The sequence below is a fragment of the Homo sapiens genome, chromosome 5 (assembly GCF_000001405.40).
Source record: "Homo sapiens chromosome 5, GRCh38.p14 Primary Assembly".
In the NCBI taxonomy this organism is placed as follows: Eukaryota; Metazoa; Chordata; class Mammalia; order Primates; family Hominidae; genus Homo; species Homo sapiens.
Genome location: NC_000005.10, coordinates 127,555,274 through 127,579,143, shown reverse-complemented (window position 1 = coordinate 127,579,143; position 23,870 = coordinate 127,555,274). Strand labels below are relative to the sequence as shown.

The following is a 23,870-nucleotide window of genomic DNA, read 5'->3' as shown; positions in this document are numbered from 1 at the left end:
TGTTTTATAGTTTTTATTGCAGATGTCTTTCACTTCCTTATTACATTTATTCCTAAGTATTCTATTCTTTTTGATGCTATTATAAATGAGATTGTTTTCTTTCTTTTTTCAGATAGTTTGTTGTTAGTTTATAGAGAAACAAGCACTTTTTGTATGTTAATTCTGTATCTTGCAACTTTACTGAATTCATCATTAGTTTTTTTTGTTTGTTTTGTTTTTTTGTTTTTTTTGGACAGAGTTTCACTCTGTCACCCAGGCTGGAGTGCAGTGATGTGATTTGGCTCACTGCACCCTCTGCTTCGCTTCCCAGGTTCAAGTGATCCTCCCACCTCATCTTCCAGAGTAGCTGAAACTACAGGTATGCACAACAATGCCCCAGCCAATTTTTGTGTTTTTAGTAGAGAGAGGGTTTCCCCATGTTGGCCAGGCTGATCTCGAGGCCTCCAAAAGTGCTGGGATTACAGGCATGAGCCACTGTGCCTGCCCAATTCATCATTAGTTCTAACAGTTTTTGGTGGAGTGTTTAGGATTTTCTGTGTAGAAGATCATATCATCTGTCAAGAGCGGCAATTTTACTTCTTCTTTCACGTCTGGATATCTTTTATTTCTATTTCTTGCCTAATTACTGTAGAACTTTCATTATTATGTTGAAGAGAAGTGGCGAGAGTGAGCAAACTTGTCTTGTTCCAAATCTTAAAAAAGGCCTTCATCTTTTCACCATTGAGTATAATGTTACTTAGGGGCTTGTCATATATGGCCTTTATTGTGTTGAGGTACATTCCTTCTATACCACATTTGTTGAGATTTTTTTTATCATATCGTGAAAGGGTGTTTAATTTTGTTGAATGCCTTTTCTGCATATATTGAGATTATCATATGGTTTTTGTCCTTCACTCTGTTAATGTAATGTATAACATTTATTGATTGACATATGTTGAACTATCCTTGCATCCCAGGAATAAATCCCACATGATCATGGTGTATTATCCTTTTAACACTTAATTCAGTTTGCTAGTATTTTATTTTGGATTTGTGCATCTATGTTTATCAGTGATATTGGCCTATAGTTTTCTCTTCTTATAGTGTTCTTGTTTGAGTTTGGTATCAGGGTAAAGCTGGCCTTACAAAATGAATTTGGAAATGTTCCCTCCTTTTCAATTATTTTCCAAGAATTGACAATTGGTATTAGTTCTTCTGTAAAGGTTGGATAGAATTCACCAGGGAAGCTATAAGGATGTGGGCTGTTTGATGGGAGATTTTTGATTGCTAATTCAGTCTCCTTAGCTGTTATTATTCTTCTTGGATTTTTTTCATGATTTAGTCTTGATAAGTTGTACGTTTCTACAAATATGTGTTTCCTCTAGATCATCCAGTTTGATGGCTTATAATTTTTCATAGCAGTTTAATAATCCTTTGTATTTCTGTGGTATTAGATGTAAGGTCTCTTTCATTTCTGGTTTTCTTTCATTTTTAGTTGAGTCATCTCTCTTTTCCTCTTAGTCTAGCTGAAAGTTTGCCAATTTTACTTATCTTTAAAAAAAAATCAGCTCTTCATTTCATAGTTCTTTGCTTTGTTTTTCTAGCCTCTATTCTATTTGTTTTATTCCTGATTTTTATTATTTCCTTCCTCCTACTAACTTTAGGTTTAGTTTTTCTTCCTTTCCAGTAACTTGAAGTGTAAGGTTGGATGGTTTATTTGAGATCTTCCTTTTTCATGTAGGTATTTTCATTACTCTAAACTTTCCTCTTAGAGTTGCTTCTGCTGCACCCCGTAAGTTTTGGTCTGTTGTGTTTCTATTTTTGTTTGTCTCAAGGTATTTTTTAACTTATCTTTTGATTTCTTCTTTGACTCATTCATTGTTCAAGAACATATTGTTTAGTTTCCACATATTTGTGAATTTTCCAGTTTTTCTTCTGTTGTTAATTTCGAGTTTCATACTATTTTGTTTAGCAAAGTTGTGTGACATGATTTCAGTCATGTTAAATTTTTTAAGACTTATTTTGTGACCTAACATATGACCCATCTTGGAAAATGTTCTGTGTATACTTGAGAAAAATGTATATTCAGCTACTGTTGGATGGAATATTCTCTATATGTCTGTTTGATCCATTTGGCCTAAATCCCAGTTTAACTCTAATGTTTCCTTATTGATTTTCTGTCTGGATTATCTATCCATTGTAAAAAGTGGGGTATTGAAATCCCCTACTATTAGATTGCTATCTATTTCTCCATTCAGTTCTGTTAATACTTGCTTTATATGTTTAGTTTCTCCAATATTTAGTGCATATATACCTATAATTGTTATATCCTCCTGATGAATTGTCGTTATATAATGATCTGCTTTGTATCTTGTTACAGTTTTTGACTTAAAGTCTCTTTTGTCTGACACAAGTAAAACTACTCCTACTCGCTTTTAGTTTCCACTTGCATGGATACCTTTTTCCATTCCTTCACTTTCTGTGTGTGTCCTTAAAGCTAAAGTGAGTTTCTTGTACATGGCATACAGTTGGGTCATGCCTTTTTATACATTTAGTCACTGTATGTTTTTTGATTGGAGAATATAATCCATTTATATTAAAGTAATTATTGCTAGGTAAGGACTTACTATTGCCATCTTGTTAATTGTCTGCTGGCTGTTTTGTATATCCTTTGTTCCTTTCTTCTCCTCTTGCTGTCTTTCTTTGTGATTCGATTATTTTCTGCAGTGGTGTATTTTGATTTTGCCTCATTATCTTCTGTGTATCTACATAGGGTTTTGCTTTGTGGCTACCATAAAACATCTTATAGTTATAACAGTCTGTTTTAAGCTGATAACATCTTAACTTCAATTGCATACAAAAACTCTACACTTTTGCCCCATCCCTACAATTTGTTTTTGATATCCCAGTTATATCTTTTAAAATTGTGTATTCAGCAACAAATTATTGCAGTTGTAGTTTTTGGTTTTTTGTTTGTTTGTTTGTTTGAGACGGAGTCTCGCACTGTTGCCCAGGCTTGAGTGCAGCGGCGCGATCTCGGCTCACTGCAAGCTCTGCCTCCCGGGTTCACACCATTCTCCTGCCTCAGCCTCCGGAGTAGCTGGGACTACAGGCGCTTGCCACCACGCCTGGCTAATTTTTTTGTATTTTTAGTAGAGACGGGGTTTCACCATATTAGCCAGGATGGTCTCAATCTCCTGATCTCGTGATCCGCCAGCCTTGGCATCCCAAAGTGCTGGGATTACAGGTGTGAGCCACCGCGCCCTGCCAGTTGTAGTTATTTTCAATATTTTGTCTTTTAACCTTTATACTAGAGTCGTAAGTGATTTACACATCACTATTATAATTTTACTCTAAATACGACTGTATACTTAGCTTTACCAATGAGTTTTATATTTTCATATGTTTTCATGTTACTAATTAGCATGCTTTTATTTCAGCTTGAATAACTCCCTTAAGCATTTCTTATAAGACAAGTCTAGTAGTGATGAACTCCCTCAGCTTTTGTTTGTCTGGGAAACTCTTTCTCTTTCATTTATGAAAGAAACTTTGTCAGGTTTACATATTCTTGGCTTTTTTTATCTTTTCTTCTCAGCACTTTGAATATATCCTTCTACTCTCTCCTACCCTATAAGCTTTCTGCCGAGAAATCTTCTGATAGCCTGATAAGAAATCTGATAGTGTTATGTGGGTTACCTTGTATGAGATAAGCCTCTTTTCTGCTGCGTTTAAAACTCCTTGATTTTGACTTTTGACAGTTGATTGTAGTGTATCTTGGTGATCTCTTTTTCAGGTTAAAGCTTATCAGAGACGTTTAAATGCCACATACCTGGATGTCTGTATGTTTCCCCAGATTTGGGGAGTTTTCAGCTATTTAAAAAAAAAATCTTTCTGCCTCTTTCTCTTTTCACCTTCTTAAATTCCTATAATGCAACTGTTAGCACTCTTAACTGTGTCACATAAATTTTGCAGGCGTTCATCATTCCTCTTCATTCATTTTATGTTTTTTCTCTGACTGGATATTTTCAGAGGACCTGTCTTTTGTATTTACAGGTTCTTCTGCTTGATTGAGTCTGCTGCTGATGCTCTTTATTACATTTTTCATTTCATTCACTGTATTCTTCAGCTTCATAATGTATGTTTAGTTCTTTATTATTTGTATCTCTTTTAAAATGAATTTTTTAGGATATAGGGTCTTGCTATGTTGCCCAGGCTTGTCTTGAACTCCTGACGTCAAGTGGGCTTCTCACCTCAGCCTCTTGTGTAGCTAGGACTACAGGAATGTGCCACCATACCCAACTTTTTGATTTCTGTGTCTTTATTGAACTTCTAATTTTGTTCATGTATTGTTTTTCTGATTTCACTGAATTGTCTATCTTGTTGCTCACTGTGCTTCCTTAAAATAATCATTTTTGGCTGGATGCAGTGCTTCATGTCTGTAATTCTAGCATTTTGAGAGGTCGAGATAAGAGAATTGCTTGAGGCCAGGAGTTCAAGACCATCCTGGGCAATATAGTGAGATGCTGTCCCTACAATTTTTTAAAATTATCTGTGTAGGGTGGGATGTGCCTATAGTCCTAGTTACTCAGGATGCTGAGGCAAGAGGATTTCTGAAGCCCAGTAGTCCAAGGATGTGGTGAATTATGATCATGCCACTGCACTCAAACCTGGGTGACAGAGCAAGATCCTGTCTCTGAAACATAAATAAATAAATATAATTTCAATTTTTTTGTCAGGCAATCTATAGATCTCTAATTTTTCTGAGTTGGTTAGTGGAATATTTTATTCCTTTGGTGGTGTCATGTTTTCAAGATTTTTCATGTTCCTTAAAGTTTTGCGTCATTGTGTGTGCACTTGAAGAAGTAATCATTTCCTCCCATATTTACTGATTGGCTTCGAGAGAAAAATGCTTTAACTAAATAGCCCAGCTAGGGATTCTGAGGCTCTCTCAGACCTTTTCTATCAATGTGCCCACTCTGCCCCTTATTTCCTCTTGGTGGGGGGAGAATTCTTAAGATTGTATGGCTTATCATGACCCCATAAAGCCGAAGTGGGTGCTAAGTGCCTCCTGTTTGTTTTTGCTATGATGGCACCTTGAATTGCTTGAATTTGTATACCTTCTCCCAATCCTGCAGAGTCAAGCCAGCTGTCCACATGAGATTGTTGTGCTCAGCCTCCTGTGTAGCTAGGACTACAGGAATGTGCCACCATACCCAACTTTATGATTTCTGTGTCTTTATTGAACTTCTAATTTTGTTCATGTATTGTTTTTCTGATTTCACTGAATTGTCTATCTTATAGCTCACTGAGCTTCCTTAAAATAATCATTTTTGGCTGGATGCAGTGCTTCATGTCTGTAATTCTTATGTGTGGTGTAATTCTTCATGTCTTGTGGTGAGAAGGTGAAGCATATAGAAAATATGGAGTGCCCATGGGGCAGTGGGTATGGGGTTCATAGCTGAGGTTCCTCAAGTGGTTTGTGGGCCTGCTTCCTGATGGAGTAGGCAGAACTTAGTAAGGTCCATGGCAGCCTTTCTTCCCTGCTCCCAGCATCTTCCAACCACTCATTTATTCCAATCACTCCAGTATTCCGGGTGGGTTAAGAAAGAAGCAGGCCTCTTGGGCAGCATCTGATGTGGCTGGGGGAGCCAGGTACCCCCTTACTACACTTTCATTTTTCCTCATGGGAGAAATCATGGGCCAATAACGTCTCTCTTGGCACTGAGCTATGCCACCTTGTGAAAGGGGTGAGGTAGATAACATGAAACTGTTCTTCCACACTCTTCAGTGCACCTATTCTTGGATTTTTGCTTCAGTGGTGTGCTGGAACTTCTCAGCTGCACTCCTAGACTCCAACAAAGGTACTCTTAACTGTGGATATTTGCCAAAATTGATTTATCTGTAGGGGAATGATAGTGGAATGTTTCTATTCTACCGCCTTGTTGACATCATTTCTTACTTATATTTGTAAAGGCTCCATCTTGTGGATGGGTTGAAAACAGCTACATGGAGATGATTGTTACACTAATTTAGACACCCCTGACTTTAATCTAGAAAAGCTGTTCAGTGATGTAATCACGATGCAGTGCCTCAAGTTGCCTTTTCATGAACCACCACACAGATCACAGCTATTCTTCAGTCATCAAACTTTTATTGAGCCCCACTGTGTCCCAGGCACATACTGCTCATATGGATATAAAGGGGTTTTTCTTCTCCCTTGGGTTTCACAGTCTGGTGTAACAGGTGCAACAGTGTGATAAGCACTGGAGTAAAGACTTGTAAAAAAGGAAAACCATGAGCACAAGAGGGAATAGTTATTTTTATTTAAAGACAGAAAGCAGGACACAATGTCAAGAGTATAATTCTAGAGTCATATTTATAGGGTTGGAATCTTGTTCCACCACATATTAGCTAATGATTCTGAATCTTTGTGCCTGAATTCCCTCACCTGGAGGTGTTGAAAGCCCTTCCCGCCCCCACCCCACCCACCATGGTAGAGGCAATGCTGCCTACACCATGTAGTTTCATTTTCATCCTGGACACAAGAGAAAAATACATTTCCTTGTTCTCTTGCAACTAGGAAGGACCATATATCAGACTTAGGGTCAATAGACTGTGGGGGAGGTGGTGAGATGTCACTCAGAGATGGCCCCTAAAACATCCATGTGATCCTCCACACACTCTCTCCCCTCTCTGCAAAAGACTCCAGGATAATTTAGCCACATCATAAAAGGAGTGCCCAACTGCTTGGAGATGATCTGCCCAAGAGAGCTACCCAGCCAGGAGCATGCACATCAGACTCTGCATGAGAAAAAGAAATACTTGGTCTCATAGCAATACTGATACTACTTATTATAACAATTAGCCTGTCCTGATTAACATACCACCTCTAAGATTGCTGAAACATTTAAATGAGATAAAAACCTCATGAAAAGCCTTCAATAACCTATAGCTGTTATTATTATTATAACTGCCATGACATACGAGAGGAACTCACTATAGAGCAGGAACTGGGGATTTGCTGGGTGGATGGGAGGTGACAGAGGGAGTCAAAAGTTTTGAGCAGAGGGGAACAAAATGAAAAGTACAGAAAGAGTGAGAATGTGACAGTGTAAAAAAATTTGAAAAGCAAAAAAACACAAAAAACAAAAAAACTGAAGTGAGACAGTGGGAAGCAAGAACTGTCCAAATAAAGTACAGGGCAGCTGCTCTGGAAATGTGTCCTCACACCCCTCCAGCGTCAGGTGTCTCTAATATTTCTCTCTTGTCTGTTCCAGATCTAGATTGAGAAACAAGAGGCCAGGCTTTTTCATCTGTTTTAAACTGATGGAAAGCTTCTTCCTGGATGCTTGTTTTACTACTTGAAATGTGTTTCTTTTATTGCCTTCTGGTCACAGGAACAGTCTTAATGGACTATAGGAAATTGAAAGGGAACAGAAAGCTCTGCAAAGGAGAGGCCTTCCCAACAAAGGACAGAAGCATTCTTTGACTCTTTGGGTTGTGAAGGAACAAAGGACAAATGTGTAGAATAGGGCTGGAAAAAGTGCAAAGGATGCTTTTTATTAATACCTCCTCTGAGCAACACAGTCATTTCCTTAGACTTGGGGTTCAACCTGTGGCCATGCAATGAGTTTTCTCTGCTCAAAGCCAGCTGATGGGAACTGAAACAGCCTTGACCTCCTTACCACTATGATCAAACTGGCTGAGGGGCCTCCTCGAGGAGGAGAGTCCTAGAGCTTGAAAGGGTACTACCTGTTTATCCTATTAAACTTACTACAGTTGCCTTAACCAGAAAGTTATTCCTCTGGGGCCCTTGTAAATGTCGTTGAGCTTTGGAAATGGCTAAGTTATAGCTTTTGTTTATGATTAAAAGGAACCACCTACAAAACTAGAAAATTGACACGAAGCTGACCAGACCAAATCAACCTTATTTATTATGGAAATCCTATCCAACAGAAAACCACATCAGAAAAAAATACAGTAGTTAGTGTTTCTAGGCAAAAGGATCACCAGTGCCTGAAACACAGGAAACAGCTAAAACAAAAATAAAAACAAAATATGGAAAAATAAGGGGATGCATGTGAAATTTATTAAATCTTTACAGTGAGATGTTTCAGCTCTGAAAATTCTCCTGTCCTGGTCTTCCCCTGTCACCTGCTGGCCTTGATATTTTCCCAGATTTACTGTCTACCAGCAAACATTTGGGAGCAATGCATCCTGCTGAAAGACTGACTTTAACTAGCCCTTACTACAATGCAAGCTTCTAAAACAGCCTCATGTGTATAAATTAAACTGTTAGCTCCTTGTGCCCTTTTCCTGGGAAAGAAATCACATCTATTTACATGTATCTGTAAATCAAAACCTACTTGCCTATGATGTTCTTGTGGACATGACAAAACAAAACCCAGGCTGGCTTGGCCTGGATGAGGGCTGAGTACACAAAGCGATCTATTCACATCTTTGGACTTCAAGAGAATCATATTGTGTCCGGAATTGGTGGGTTCTTGGTCTCACCAACTTCAAGAATGAAGCCGCGGACCCTTGCAGTGAGTGTGCCAGTTCTTAAAGGCGGCATGTCCGGAGTTTGTTCCTTCTGATGGTCTCGCTGGCTCAGAAGTGAAGCTGCAGACCTTCGTGGTGAGTGTTACAGCTCAAAAAGGCAGTGTGGACCCAAAGAGTGAGCAGTAGCAAGATTTATTGCAAAGAGGGAAAGAACAAAGCTACCACAGTGTGGAAGGTGACCTAGCGGGTTGCCACTGCTGGCTCGGGCAGACTGCTTTTAGTCTCTTATCTGGCCCCACCCTCATCCTGCTGATTGGTCCGTTTTACAGAGAGCCGATTAGTCCATTTAACAGAGAGCTGATTGGTCCGTTTTGACAGGGTGTTGATTGGTGCATTTACAATCCCTGAGCTAGACACAAAAGTTCTTCATGTCCCCACCAGATTAGCTAGATACAGAGTGTGGACACAAAGGTTCTCCAAGTTCCCCCAGAGTAGCTAGATACAGAGGGTCGATTGGTGCATTCACAAACCCTGAGCTAGACACAAAGGTTCTCCATGTCCCCACTAGATTAGCTAGATACAGAGTGTTGACACAAAGTTTCTCCAAGTCCCCACCAGAGTAGCTAGATGCAGAGTGTCCATTGATGCCTTCACAAACCCTGAGCTAGACACAGGGTGCTGATTGGTGTGTTTATAAACCTTGAGCTAGATACAGAGTGTCTGCCGATTGGTGTATTTACAATCCCTTAGCTAGACCTAAAGGTTCTCCAAGTCCCCACCAGAGTCAGGAGCCCAGCTGGCTTCACTCAGTGGATCCGGCACCTGGCCGCAGGTGGAGCTGCCTGCCAGTCCCGCGCCGTGAGCCCGCACTCCTCAGCCCTTGGGTGGTCGATGGGACTGGGCGCTGTCGAGCAGGGGACGCCGCTCGTCGGGGAGGCTCGGCCGCACAGGAGCCCACGGAGGCGGAGGGGAGGCGCAGGCATGGTGGGCTGCAGGTCCCGAGCCCTGCCCCGCGGGAAGGCAGCTAAGGCTCGGCGAGAAATTGAGCACAGCAGCTGCTGGCCCAGGTGCTAAGCCCCTCACCGCCCGGGGCCGGCGGGGCCTGCCGGCAGCTCCGAGTGCAGGGCCCGCCGAGCCCACGCCCACCCGGAACTCGCGCTGGCCCGCAAGCACCGCGCGCAGCCCCGGTTCCCGCCCGCGCCTCTCCCTCCACACCTCCCCGCAAGCTGAGGGAGCCGGCTCCGGCCTTGGCCAGCCCAGAAAGGGGCTACCACAGTGCAGTGGCGGGCTGAAGGGCTCCTGAAGTGCCGCCAAAGTGGGAGCCCAGGCAAAGGAGGCGCCAAGAGCGAGCGAGGGCTGTGAGGACTGCTAGCACGCTGTCACCTCTCAATATGGTCCAACCAAGGTCAACTAGTTGATTGCAGCCCGATTTCACAGGTTAGTTTTTAAAAGTACATTGCATAACTATTGTCAAAAGTGTTATTCTCTCCTTTAAAATCAACCCTTAGAGATACAAAAAAAGCATAAGAGAAAATGTCAAATCTGATTGGTGGTAGTATCTCTTTAAGATATCTAATTTGTATTATGTAGTGAATTGGCTGTTACATCTAATCAAAAAAAGCCTCTTATACTATGGGATTTTTCTCACTCATAAGATGTTGTATGGAGAACTTGCAATGTCCACAAATATCATCAATGTTTAAATTGACAAACTTCTCTCGTGTCTTAGTTGGCTTGAAGTCTTTTGGGGGAAATTTTCTTCGTTCTTTTTTTTAACTTCTTTCCTTTTGACTTTCTTCCTTTCCCTCATTTTTTTCTCCCTCCTGTATAGCTTTGGTTTTTTTTTTCTTTCCTTTTTTTTATGAAACAAGGGGAAACAAAGAGAAACTAACATCTATTGAGCACCCACTTTGGTGGTAAGTGGTTTCCAAGTATTATTTTATTATCAGTGCAGCAACGATAGGATTCCTTCCATTGGCTTAATCTGAAATATTCTGTCATGCTTCCAATCAATCCATTTTCAATTGAGATTTGTTTTTTTTTAAGTAGCAAAGGCAGTTGATTAAGTGTATTGTTTTAAGATGTCCAAGTCCTTAACATACTCAATATCTAGACAGCTGCCCTACCTGTGTGATCTAGACAGCATACAATTTGTCTTTAAGATAAAAACACACAAATATGCACACACAAAATATCTACTCTTTCTTTTGGTTCTGTGATGTGTATGCAAGGTTTTATTGGTTGTCCTGTGTCTCTCTCTCCTCCTCCTCCTCCTCCTTCCCCTCTTCTTCCACTTTCTCTTTCTCTTATGTCATACCCATCCACGATGACACCCCTGCCCTTCATTGCCTCATGCCCAAGGGCAGCTTATGGTCTTCCAACGGATGAGATCTGATGTGGCTACACAGACTTACTGATCCAAAACGGAGGGAGAGGTCTGCATTCTCTTCCAGAGATTTTACTCACTCTTCTCCATATGTTTTTTCATACCTGTCAATCCCTTTCTCTGTTGCTTTATCATAGTTTCTTCCACTTTTTTAAATCATATTGAGAAGATTAAGCTTCAAATATGCTTTTGGCCCAATAAACTTTAAAGTGAAGAGTTTTACTCTTTGCCAAAATAGCTTCTAAGATGCAGTTGGGGAAATTAACATTCGGTTGGGAGGCTTTACACCCTCATGCTCAACAGGTGTTCTCCACTGGCTTTTTAATGGTAATAACAATCCACAACTGTGGAGTTATTTGCCCCTTAATCTTCACAAAAAATAAAAGGAAGGTACTATTTATCCTCATTTTATGATAAGGAAGCATAGAGAGGTTATATAACTCTTTAAGGTTGCACTGATGGTAAACAGTGGAGCTAGAGCATGGCCCATATCTATCTGATCAAAAATCCATATCTTTCCCCTAAGCCACACTTTTCACATGTGCCAAGGGGACTCTGAAATGTTGCTCTGTCAATAAATATCTGCACACACGTACCCCACATCCTTGAATTCAGCCCCACAAGGGCTCTGTGGTGCCTTGTTTACAGGTGGTGATGATAGTAATAATAATAGTTGCTGTCGGGGACGTGACAGCTGGCTGGTGGTGTTCATAATGAAAGTTCACCTTCCCGCCACCTCCCCTAGAGCCAAGAAGATCATGGTTATCACAGTCTCAGGCCATTTTTCTTTGGGCTCCTTTACCAAGACAGTCATAGGTAAAGAAAGGTAGACTTATTAGAGGAAGCATGAAGATAATGTTGCAAGGATGCAACAAGCAGCACAGCAGAGAAGGGGCTGTCTGCAAAGATGCAGGGGCTGGAGGGAAGTTTTGTAAGGTCGTGCTGGAGAGGGCTGTGTGCAAGTAAGCTTGTGCTATGCTATATGCTAAGACTATGTTGGGGTAATTTTTAACTGTCAGCCCTTTCCTCTCCAGGTGCCCAAGGGAAATGCTTTGCTGTTGTTAGCCATTTTGCAACCCATATGCCTTCTGTTTCTGGAGTTGCAAGATATTGGTTGTGGTTTTTCACACAAAAGGGTTGCAAATGGGGTTAGATCCCTGGGTTAGGTCCAGTCCCTGTTCTACCAGCCTGGCTCCTTCCGGTTCCTTTTAACTTATTGATTTACTAGGGTCCCACGGTTACTGCTTATGCTGAATTTAACTGTCATACACTATTCTAAGTGCTTTTACATATATAAACTAATTTTACAGATGAAAATGGGGCTCAAAGTCAAATACCTACAACACAGGTGTTTCATGCTGTGAGGGTAGAGAGAAATCTTCCTCTTTGCCCACTGAGGGATTACTGAAAATGAATGGATGAAAGGCAGATTAGTACAAGAAAAAGGCATACAAAATGTATTTGAAGTGTCCAGGGGAAATCACAGTAGAGTGATTACCCAATAACCCAATGAGGCCCAGAGGCTTTCATACCCTTCTTCATAGGGGAAGGGAAGATGGTGATGAAGGAGTAACCGATTTTCCATGGAAATGAATGAGCCCAAAGAAAAATGGTCTGAGACCATGTTCCTCTGGGCTCTGGGCTCTGGGCTCTGGGGGAGGTGGCAGGAAGGTGGACCTTCATTATCAACAAAGCTTGTCTTATACAGATAGAGCCTCCCTGGTAATCTTAGTAGCTGCCTTCAGAAGAATAGATGAAAAGTTTGTCTGTCTGGGTGTGGTGACAACTCCCAGTCTCTTCTCCTGTGGTTAATCTTTCCTAGTTATTTGATGAGATTCCTAAGAACAGAGTCTTAAGACAATTGCATTTATTTTGGAAAAAAAAAGCTTCCTTAGCCAGATAAGGAAATTTGGGACAGAGTCCCTTCTGGTGCTTGGGAAAAGAGAGGATAAGAGAAACAGGTGTGAGGGGGAAGGTTCTGAGGCTTATTTCTGAGACCTTTCCATTTTCTTTCCTTCAAAGCATTCAGCATGCCAACTTACCGTATTTTGTGGTGCTGTTTTCTGTGCCTCAACAGTGCAAATTAAAGGGGCTGTCCTTTATTAAGAAAGTTTCTTCTGTATTCCAGGATTTCTCAGAGCCTTTTCCTATGCACTCTAAATTTTCTAGATGTGTTTGATGAAGGGATCCTTTGTTTGGATAGAAGCAGAGGGTTATTGTTCTGCCATACATCCTCTGGGAGATGCTGGTCTTGGCAGTCACAATTTTTCCAGGGTATGCAAGTGAATTAGTTTATCAGGCTTTTTTTCCTATTCTAGAAGGAAGCAGCAGATCTGGGGACACTGTGTGGCAGGGAAGAGTTGTCACCAAAGGGTGGTGACAATGCTGAGGGGAGGGGAGGATGGTGGTACACTTGGGTAGGTGATTTAACCTCTCCCAGCCTCAGGCTTCTCATCTACAAAGTGGGTATGGTGATGCCTCCCTTGTGGTGTTGCATCAGAGATAATGATGGTGCTTGGTACAGGGTATGTGCATAGTCAGCAGTGACTGATATTTGCCATCCTGTTACCTCTTATAGTAAGCAGCATAGCCTTGGGAAAATTTTTAAATCTAGAATAGCCCTCATTTCTTCCTCTATAGGACAGAAATAAGGGTTCTACTTCATCAGATTGTTGAGATTATGGGGCCAGGCATGTAGTGGCTTTTCAATATGTGATGCTGAATTGTTTTCCTCCAGCCAGCCCCACCTCACACGGGGAGTGCCCCTCCGACTCACTTGCCTCAGTTCTGGAGAAGACGCACAGATTCCAAGAGCAATTGGAATTTATACTTCTTCATCCTCCTTTGACGTTCTATTTGGGCCGATTCCTTTCGTCTAGGGTCAGGAAGCTCATCCATCAGGACTCACACAGTTTGTAAGGAGACGTTGGGTTCATTTCCATTTTTAGGGTGTACATTGCAAAGCCCACTATGACTGAAGATCTTACTGGACACCACATAGCAACTGCTGCCGCACAGTCAGGAATGTGCCTTTTTCCCAAGGCCAAAACGTTGTGACCTCTCATCATGCACAAATTATAGCTGACCTGATATTGGGTATGTCTGAGGTGTACAGAGTCTCTAATTCTATTCAGAACATAGCACCTGTCAGCAATCAACAGAATCAAATGGTCCTGGGGTGAATGTTCACTTCCTCCTTTTTTTTTCCTTTGCCAAAACATAACTATGGGTTGAGGGGACGCATCACAGATGAGAAACAATGAGCCTGGTCTTCCCAGTGTAAACCCAAGCAAGGGCTGGCACAGTGGGTCAGTCCCCCGAGGCAAAGCCAGTAGAAACCAGACTGTTGACAACTGCCTTACAACACTTTGTGCAATCCCATGAAGAGAAGAGTAACATAAACTAAATGCCTGGACAGTTTTTCTTTGTAAAATTTCAACAGGAAAACTCAACTTGTAGGTTTTCTAGAGACATACCTATACTCTATATTGAATGGTATATTTTAGCTTACAGGGGAGGCTTCCGGTTGATAACAACCATTTTCATTTGTTGCAGGATCTGAAATACAACCATGTGAAAAAATTCCTATAAGGTTTTACATATTACCCAGCACAGAGCAAGAGCCAGATAAATGGTAGCAAAATTGCCATCATGTAATCTTGTGAAAAACATTGATTCTTCATATCTGCAACTTTAATTAGAGTTTTGAATTAAGTGAAAATTCTGAAAGCACTAGAAAGTCAAATTTAGAATGCTCCTTTCAGCAGCAGAAATGGGGTAAATAAGAACAGGGACACTAGGGGAACCACCTTATTACAAGCCATTTCAATTTGACATTTTGCTGTATTTGAAGAATGTTTGTGGGCATTGACACCTACACATTAGATATTTGATGTGCAACTGGTGCCCTCTAGTGACAGGGTGAACAGTCTTCAGTCACTAAAGCTAAAGAAATCCAATCTTCCTAACTTAACCAACCCCAGATTTACGAGAAGGGAAGAGAAAGGGGAGAAGGTAGGAGGCCAGAAGGTGTCTGTCTCACTGTAATTCAGAAGGCAAATCTAAGCAGGCATCCTTTGGTCTCTAAGATAAGGGTTCTCAAATGCTTTTGAAGTTTCACTTTTCTTTTGGAGAAAGGACACTTTCTACCTTGTATCTCTCAGAACTTCCCTAGAATGGGAGCTGAGTTTTTAAAGGCCACCTCAGGTAATACAGCTATACTCCAAAATTCACACAATTCCTCTGCCCTCTGGAAAACCATGGAATAATGAGGCAGTGGATTTTGGTTCCATGGGGAATCCTGGAACCCATCTCCCACAAATACTAAGGGATGACTGTAAACATATGTATACAGTGTGGCAGATACAATATGATAGATTCCTGCAGGAACCATGGAAACACAATCCAGTTCATTTCTCTGATCTCACATTGAATGTATCTCTCCTTTCCACCATGATTTCATGCACATTTTCACTGGCATATGGCATAAACTGATTTTTTTTAACTAATGGAAGCCTATTCAGGGATCAATTATTACCTCATGGAAATATTTGTCAACCATTCCTTACTTTCCTACTTAGAAGCAGGGGGAAAGTGTGTTTTTAACTACTAGGTAATTTAATCATTTTTTCCCCTCTCACCTCCTATATATCTACTGGGGCCAAGTCAGCTGAAAAAATAAAATCATATAAGCAAACTGCCACTTCATCATCTTGTCTCAGAAACTCCTGCTGGCAGCATACATTTTATATACCCCAAATGGGGTGTTCTGAAACAGACAGGCGAATTCCAGCTTCCCCTAATTTACTGCCCTCCTTTCCATAGCATCAGATTCATAAAACATTGCCTGGGTGGCTGGCTGGCTGTCTCACTGTCTTGAGGCTGAAGCAAGGCACAGGGGACCAGGAAGGAGACATTAGTTGCCAAGTCTCTGCTGACAAGAATACTTGCCTCCGCCCTTTTAGAGCATTTAACATAAGCAAAAGAAACAGGGGAAAAAGACTTGGCTTGCCAGCAAACCATTACACAAATCTAAAGATGTGGTATTAAGTTTTGTTCCTGTAAGTGTTCTTTCCATGACTAGCCCTATTAATTGGTGCTTCAGCTTCAAAACTATTTCAGTTTTTATGTCACAGAAGAGACTTGAGAATCCAATTAGCTACGTTTATTAGAAACACTTGAACATTTTTCTACACATTGTTTTCATGTTAAATAACATAGTGATAAGGGGAAAAGTTAGAGGAAGTTTGAAGCGATTGCATTAGGCTTTAATTTTCCACCAAGTGTTTGCATGTATCCTGGACAAACCAACTCTGCAAATGCAAAAGGAAACTGGTTTTTTCACTCTTTGGGAGAAAGCACAAATGAAACAGCCCAATTATAGGGAAATAACAAAGAACGGTGGGTAACCTACTTGACAGACAACTTAATTTAACTCTATTTTCAATATCTAGAATACACATTAAGTAGCCTCCCATTCAATCCCAGCCCTTGAGGCCATGCCACCTACAACCATCAAAATGCTCATATGTTAAAGCTCCCTGGGGACTTAACGGGTATTAATAGGTTTATACAGTCTGTTATTTTCCTAAGGTCACAACTGGGAGCCCAAAGTGAATCCCAACCCCCTGTCCTATCTTCTTTGGTCAGGGTTTTAAGAATTGGGCAATTTTACCTAAAAACCCAGATATCTGAATTCTCTGGGGAAAAATCAAGTGATCTGGCCATACCCAAGTCCTCCATCCCACATGGCAACAGTTGGCTGAAACGGAGCATGCCTGTCCCCTGTAGATGGGATATGCCTATTTAGAGAAGTCCGTGTCTTCCTGCTCACTCACTTCTATTGCTTGCCTGACCCCTACAGGCCTTTGACTTTTCCACGGTGGTTTACAAAGGGCTTCTATGTATGGTGGTAATTAGTTTCTAATGGTTATAAGATAAATAGCAAGTTCAGTCTGCTCTGCTACAGCTCATGTTTCTGTAACAATTAGCTTAAATAAAATTGGTAAATGAGTGAATGTTGTTTGTATAACCTAGAAGTCTTTTTGGTTCGTGTAACTAAGTAGCAGCACCTAAATGCAAAATCACAAACACTCAATGGCCATCAGCCCATGTTCTTCTTTCTGGCTTATATGAGCCTCCAGTTTTGTCTGGAAGTGCTCATTGCACAGTTCTCCCTGATCCTTCTGTATTTTGCTCTTTCTGCATAGCTCAGCATGCTCAGTCCTTTGTCACTGCCTTCCCTGTCCATCAGTCTACCTTCACCTTTTTTTGTTCATTAAGGCAAAGGCCTCTTATTTTGGTGTATTTATTAGAAACATAAAATGTAAAATTTGTGCTAATATTCTAATTGAGGTCATTACCAGTTTTGTTAGTGCCTGGTTTCAAAGTTATATACGTTTTTATTGATCTGTCCCTAATCCCATCTTTTCCCAAAACTTCTGTTACCTCTAGCACAAAATTCTACCGGAAGCAGGGGTTTTCAGAAATATGTCTGTCAAATTATAATATGTTCGAAAGTACTACTGAAAAACTAAGACCTTCACTCCATAAGAAGGACCTGGAGTAGAGGTTGGCATGTCTCATGGTAAGCCCAAAAGTTAATTCTCCAGCATTAAAACAGGCAATTGTAAGCAGCTGGCTAGCATTTAGGGGCTACGTTTCATGAAAAATCGGTTTTTAAACATCACAAGCATACTCAGTGTGGGGAGATGTTCATAATAAATAGACTCACAGGAACTAAGTATATATATATTGCTTCATTTATTTCTAACAACATTCTTGTGCCTGTGGTATCAACACTTCTGTTTTACTGATGAAGAATCTGAGGCTGAAAGGGATGAAACACTTGCTTGGAATTTCATTCCTGTGTGGTGAGCACAAGTTTCAAATCCAAGGTTTCTAAACCTCTAGCTCTTCCATCCTTCAGTAGTTTCCTGTCAGAAGTGGAGCAGGTCTATTGGGCTCTCTTCTTAGATCAATTTCAACCCCTTTCTACAATATTATGCGATTCAAAGTCCTTTAAAGTCAGACTTACATGTGGTATTTTTTAAGTGTTTTTATTTAAAAAATTAAAACATTTATTAACACTTACACTGCATAGTACACGAAGAATATGGCCTATGGGGTCAAACAGACTTGAGTTCCTTTATTTAAAAATATTAATTTTTAATTTATTAATATTTATCATTGTGCGAGGCATTGAGGTGTAGTGGTAGACATGACCACATGGTGCTGGTGCTCAGCGGGCTTATATTCTAGTGGTACAATCTTTTGTTAAATGTGTGAAACAAAAATACTATTACCTATTTTAAAGGACTACAAAAACAAATTTGGAACTACATATGTGGTAAGGCGTCACACATAGAAACCATTTGACTGTTAGCAGTTGTTATTGAATTGATACAATAATACTAATTACACAGAAGCAGAAGAGGCAAGGAGATTTTAGGATAAGTAGCTGCTCCAGCACAAAAGCCACCATTAGCAGTCAACAATTATTCATGCACCTGTGACTCCCTCGTCCCCAGTGAAAGCCTCAGAGCTGTGCAGGTATACAGGCTGAGGTGTGACCTGGCTGTATATAAAAGCTAATTCCTCTACAGTCCCACTTGTTCTGACACATTACATTGTAAATGAACTTACTTGGAATGTAACAGATTTCTACAAATAACTATTCATTTCAAAAGTTCTGTTAAATCATAAACCCTATACCTCCCGCTCCCCCAGCCCCTGGTATGCTTAAAGGCCCAACAGCCACCCTTTAAAAAACTAAGAAAGTTTCACTTCTAGCAAGGACCAACTAGGTTTTTTTGATCCAACTGTCCCACCAGAAACAAATGAAAAAGCCAGATCAATATCATATAAAAAAGTCTGTTTAAAATCATCAAAAAGCTACCAAATAAATGAGAATTTGTGGGACCAATGTCCAGGAGGAGAGAGACAATGAAGGGCGTAAGCCTGGCACCATTTTGCCCCCTAGGAATATTGTGAGATATGAAAACAGTGGCTGAGATGGTAAGGAATTGAGAATAGATTTTGACAGATTCATAGGACTATGGAGATAGAAACTAGAGTGCAGGGCCTGCCCCAGGTTTCAGGGTTTCAGGTACAAACCAAGAGTAAGAGTACACCAAAAACAGAGTAGTCCAGTCCTCAAAAAGACTAAAAACACCTTAAATTATTTTGATGTCTAATGAGATTAAACTGATATACCCCTAACCTAGTTGATTGCCAGAGGCAAAAACGCATGCTCACTGAAGAAAGATAATGTCAGAGCCTCAAATTACCTCAACAGCTGGTCATATACAGTGTCTGGCCCTCAATAAAAAATAACCAGTCCAGCCTGGGCAACATAGGGAGACCCTGTCTCTACAAAAACATTTAAAAAAATTAGCTGGCATGGTAGTATGCATCTGGAGTCCTAGCTACTCAGGAGGCTGAGGCGGGAGGATCGCTTGGGCCCAGGAGTTTTAGGCTGCAGTGAGCTACGATTGTGCCACTGCATTCTAGCCTGGGTGGGCAATAGAGTGAGATCCTGTCTCTAAAAACGAACAAGAAACCCCAAAATCCTCAGCCATTACCATTACAGGAAGACAAGTTTTTGCCAGAAACCAAGAGATGAGAACAAGTAATAGAAACTGGGCCACAGGAGATTCAGAAGATACAGTTATCAAACATGGGCTTTACAATAACTAGAATTAATATTTTCAAGGAATTAAGAAACAAAAATGGAGAATTTCATCAAAGTGTGGAAACTATTAAAAAATCCAATGGAAATAAATTCTAGAACTGAAAAATAGACCAAGAACTCAACAGATGAGTTTAATAGGAAAGTAGACACAGGTGAAGCAAGAACTTGTGAAGCAGAGGAGAAACCGAAAGAAAATAGACTGAAGTTCAGAATCAAAAGGATCGAAACAGAAAAGAGGCATATGGGAAAAGGGAAAATGTCTAGCATATGTATAATTACAGTCTCAAAAGAGAGGTGATACAGAATTTGGCAGTTGAACATTCTAATCATGTCACAGCACTACTGATGAAATCCAAAGGCATAGACAGAAAACCTGAAAAGCAGGAGAGAAAAAGGGTGTATCACCTTCAAAGCAACAGTAAGACTGATCATTGGTTCATGAAGAGAAACAACAGAAGACAGATATTGATAGGTGGCCAGGCGCGGTGGCTCGCGCCTGTAATCTCAGAACTTTGGGAGGCCAAGGCGGGCAGATCACTTGAGGTCAGGAGTTCAAGATCAGCTTGGCCAACATGGTGAAACCCCGTCTCTACTAAAAATACAAAAAATTAGCCAGGCGTGGTGGCGGGCACCTGTAATTCCAGCTACTTGGGAGGCTGAGGCAGTAGAATCACCGGAAACTGGGGGGTGGAAGTTGCAGTGAGCTGAGATCCCACCACTGCACTCCACCCTGGGCAACAAGAGCAAAACTCCATCTCAAAAACAAAAACAGATATTGATAGGCTATAATGAACTAGAATTCTATATCCAGTGAAAATATCATTCAAAAATTAGTATGAAATAAAAACATTTTCAAACAAAACAAGAAAGCGAGGATGTTCATCACCATAAGATCTACAGTAAAGGACATTATAAAGAGGTTTTCTTCAGGGTAAAGGGAAAGTAATCACAGAAGGAAGCTGAGAAATACAGGAGGGAATAGAGAGCAATGGGAAGGGTAAAATGTAGGGAAATATAAATCAACGTTGACTCTAAACAAAACCAATAATGTCTACTGAGACCTTTAAATACATTTAGAATTGTTTAGAGAAGGGTGAGGAGGAAACACACTGGTAGAAGATTGTCAACTCAGTTAAAGTGCCCAATAAATCTAAGGATGGTCCTTTCAATAAATGACGTCAAGACAATAGGATATCCACTTTGGAGGGGAACACTTTTAATTTAACCCTTATTTCACACCACTCACAGGCATACAAAATAACTCCAGGAGACTTTCCCATCTCACCTGTGAAAACTAAAACACAATAAAAATTTTTATAAGTCAACATAGAATGTCTTTAAGAACTTGGGGTAAGAAAAGGTGTTTTTAAAACAGGACAAATTGCACTAACCATAAAAAAAAAGAGCGATACCACCTGTATGTTATGATTTTAAACTTTTGCTCACTGAAAGATACCACTACAGAAATAAAAAGTGGAGATATCTGCAACTCATAGTACCTAGAGTATACAAAGAACTTCTAAAAATCAGTTAAGAAATAGAGAAAACTCAAGGGAAAAATGGGCAGGAAACTTGATGCCTCACAAAGGACATTCAAATGGCAAATGCATGAAAAGTTGCTCAACTTTCTCCTTAATGTCAGAGAAAAGCAAATTAAAACTACAATATAATTAATTTTAAGAGACTTTGAGTCTTTTGACAAGGGTGTACAGCAAATAGAAATAACATCATAGTAATGATGGGAGTGGTAAATTTAGGCATAGTTGGAAAATATTTTGGCCATACCTACTAAAATTGACATATGCATACTTTATGCCCCAGCAATTCATCTTATCTATATTTCCAACACAAATGTCACATATGTGGATCAAAAGAATTGTACAAGATAACCAGGGCTGTATTCATTACAACCAAAAAAACTGGAAACAACCCAATTGTTCAGCAACAAAAATACATTGTGGTATATTCAGACAACAGAACACTATAACTTGCATAACACTATGCAAGACAAACAAGCAAATACTGCTATATACAACACAAATGATTTTTGCAAACGTAATGTTGAAGAAAAGAAGTCAGGGGTAAAAGAATATATCTTAGGATTCCGTTTATATTGAATTCAACAACCAGCAAGACTCTCTGTTAGAATTTAAGGTATTGGTTATCTTAGCAGGGAAGATTTCAGGAGGCCTAATGGTGCTCTGGGAGCCTGGTCTATTTTTTTTTTTTTTTTTATCAGAGCAGTGGTTACCTTTTTTTATCAGAGCAGTGGTTACCTGAGTGTATCCATGTTGTGGTAATTCATTTGTGATTTATGTAGTTTCCTACATGTACATGTCAATAACAAAAGTAATTTTTAAATATTTTAAAAGGCACGTGGTCAGTACCTTGCCTGAAGACTAGTTTAACAGGAAATTTTCTTCAAATACCTTCCTGATGTCACTAGAGAACATTTGTGGCTTTTATCCTAAAAATGACACTCAAACCTAGTTAATGGTTTCTCAAATTGGGGAGGCTATCCAAATGTCAAGAACATAGTTTCATACCAGCAGGAAAGCCCAAAACAGCCCTTTCAAACTCAAAAGAAAAATATGGAGTAAAAATTGTTTTCACTAAACGTAATAGTGTAAGATTAAAAGTATACTAAGGAAAAGTCGTCATGCCATTATTTGAATTCACTTACATTCAACAAATATTTATAGGATTATGTACCTATAACTTCCTGAAGTAAATATTCAGGATGGTGGGGAAGAGACTGGTTCAGCAAGTCACATACTGTTTGAATTCTCTGTGATTCATCTGTTTTGTGATACTGGGCAAGCAGTTTAATCTAAGTTTCAGTTACCTTACCTATAAAAATAGGAGTAATAAAATCTGTGGGCTCAATAACATAATGTTGGTTTTAAGTTTCTACTCCAGTGCCTAATAGAAACTTATATAAATGTTTGTTCCTCACTCCTTAGAGCTTTAAGAAAAATTTTTTAAAAATTTATTTAAAAAGTGTTACTATTATTCTTAAGAAAATGTGAGCTTTTTCTTAAAATAAGCTCACTTTAGTATAATTTATAAGATTTCCTTCCTCTGTAAATTTTTAAACCTCCTTGATATCATTTTGCCAATTTTGTTTCTATTGCCAACATATTTTTTTTCCTCCTCCAGTTAATTCTGAAATTAAATACAAAGAAACAGGGCCTTTCCCAGGTCCTGAACTGGTATTTTTCTGGTCTCTTTAAAACAGTATTATTGTCTTCTGACAACCAACCAAGAAACCCCACCCAGCAGCCCCTTCCCCAATCAATATTCTGTTGTTTTATGGTATCTCCTCTTCCCCTGCCCCAAATATGGTCAAATCAAGACAAAAATCTCTTGTCCTGGGATCATAAACTCAAAATACCAAATATAGTACAAAATAAACCAGGAAAAAAAAAAAAAAATACAGCCACTATACAAGACAGTTTGGTGGCTTCTTACAAAACTAAGCATTCTCTTATCATACATCCAGGAATGCCACTCCTTGGTATTCACTAACCAAATGAGCTAAAAATAGTCCATACAAACACCTGCACACAGACGTTTATAGCAGGTTTACTCAAAACTGTCAAAACTTGACACAACCAAGATGTCCTTCAGTAGGCAAACAGATAAGTAATCTGTGGAACATCCAGATGATAGAATATTATTCAGCACTAAAAAGAAATTACCAAGCCATGAAAAGACATGGAAGAATCTTAAATATGTATTACTAAATGAAAGAAGCCAATCTGAAAAGGCTACATACTGTATTATTCAGACTATATAACATTCTGGAAAAGGCAACACTATAGAGACAGTTAAAAGATTAGTGGTTGCCAGAGGTTGGGGGGATAGAAAAACATGGAGAGTTTTTAGGACAGTGAAAATCTCCTACAATATTATAATGATGGATACATGTCATTATACATTTGCCTAAACCCATAAGAATGTACAACCCTAAGAGTAACTAAGGTAAACTATGGGCTATGGGAGATGTTAGGTCAATGCAGGTTCATTGATTGTTTATTATTCATTGATTATGGACCACTTATTGTTCATTGATTATGGACCACTCTGGTGGGGAGTGTTGATAAAGAGAGAAGAAGCTATGCATATGTAGGGGAAGGCGATATATGGGAAATCTCTGTACTTTCCCTCCTTTTAATTAATTCTGCTGTGAACTGAAACTAAGAAATAAAACTACTCGAAAACCCAATACTCAAGAAGTGTCCTCATGACCATAGGCCTTAAATTCTTGCCTATTACCTTTATCTCCAATGTATCCTCTCCTCTAAATAT

At 39.8% G+C, this 23,870-nt stretch overlaps 1 long non-coding RNA gene across 1 annotated transcript, besides 1 other annotated feature; it reads left to right on the top strand.

The window, feature by feature from the left end:
• The first annotated feature begins 9,678 nt into the window (after positions 1–9,678).
• On the top strand, positions 9,679–23,787 carry LOC124901058 (uncharacterized). Its single transcript, XR_007058924.1, has 2 exons — positions 9,679–9,918; positions 13,605–23,787. It is a non-coding gene; the product is annotated as an uncharacterized LOC124901058 (long non-coding RNA).
• Positions 11,765–11,824: a silencer, noted in NCBI's record as "silent region_16294". NCBI's record gives its function as "represses an Ori minimal core promoter by ATAC-STARR-seq in GM12878 lymphoblastoid cells {active_cell/tissue: GM12878}" and the evidence as "EXISTENCE:reporter gene assay evidence [ECO:0000049][PMID:35858748]".
• Positions 23,788–23,870: the final 83 nt, after the last annotated feature.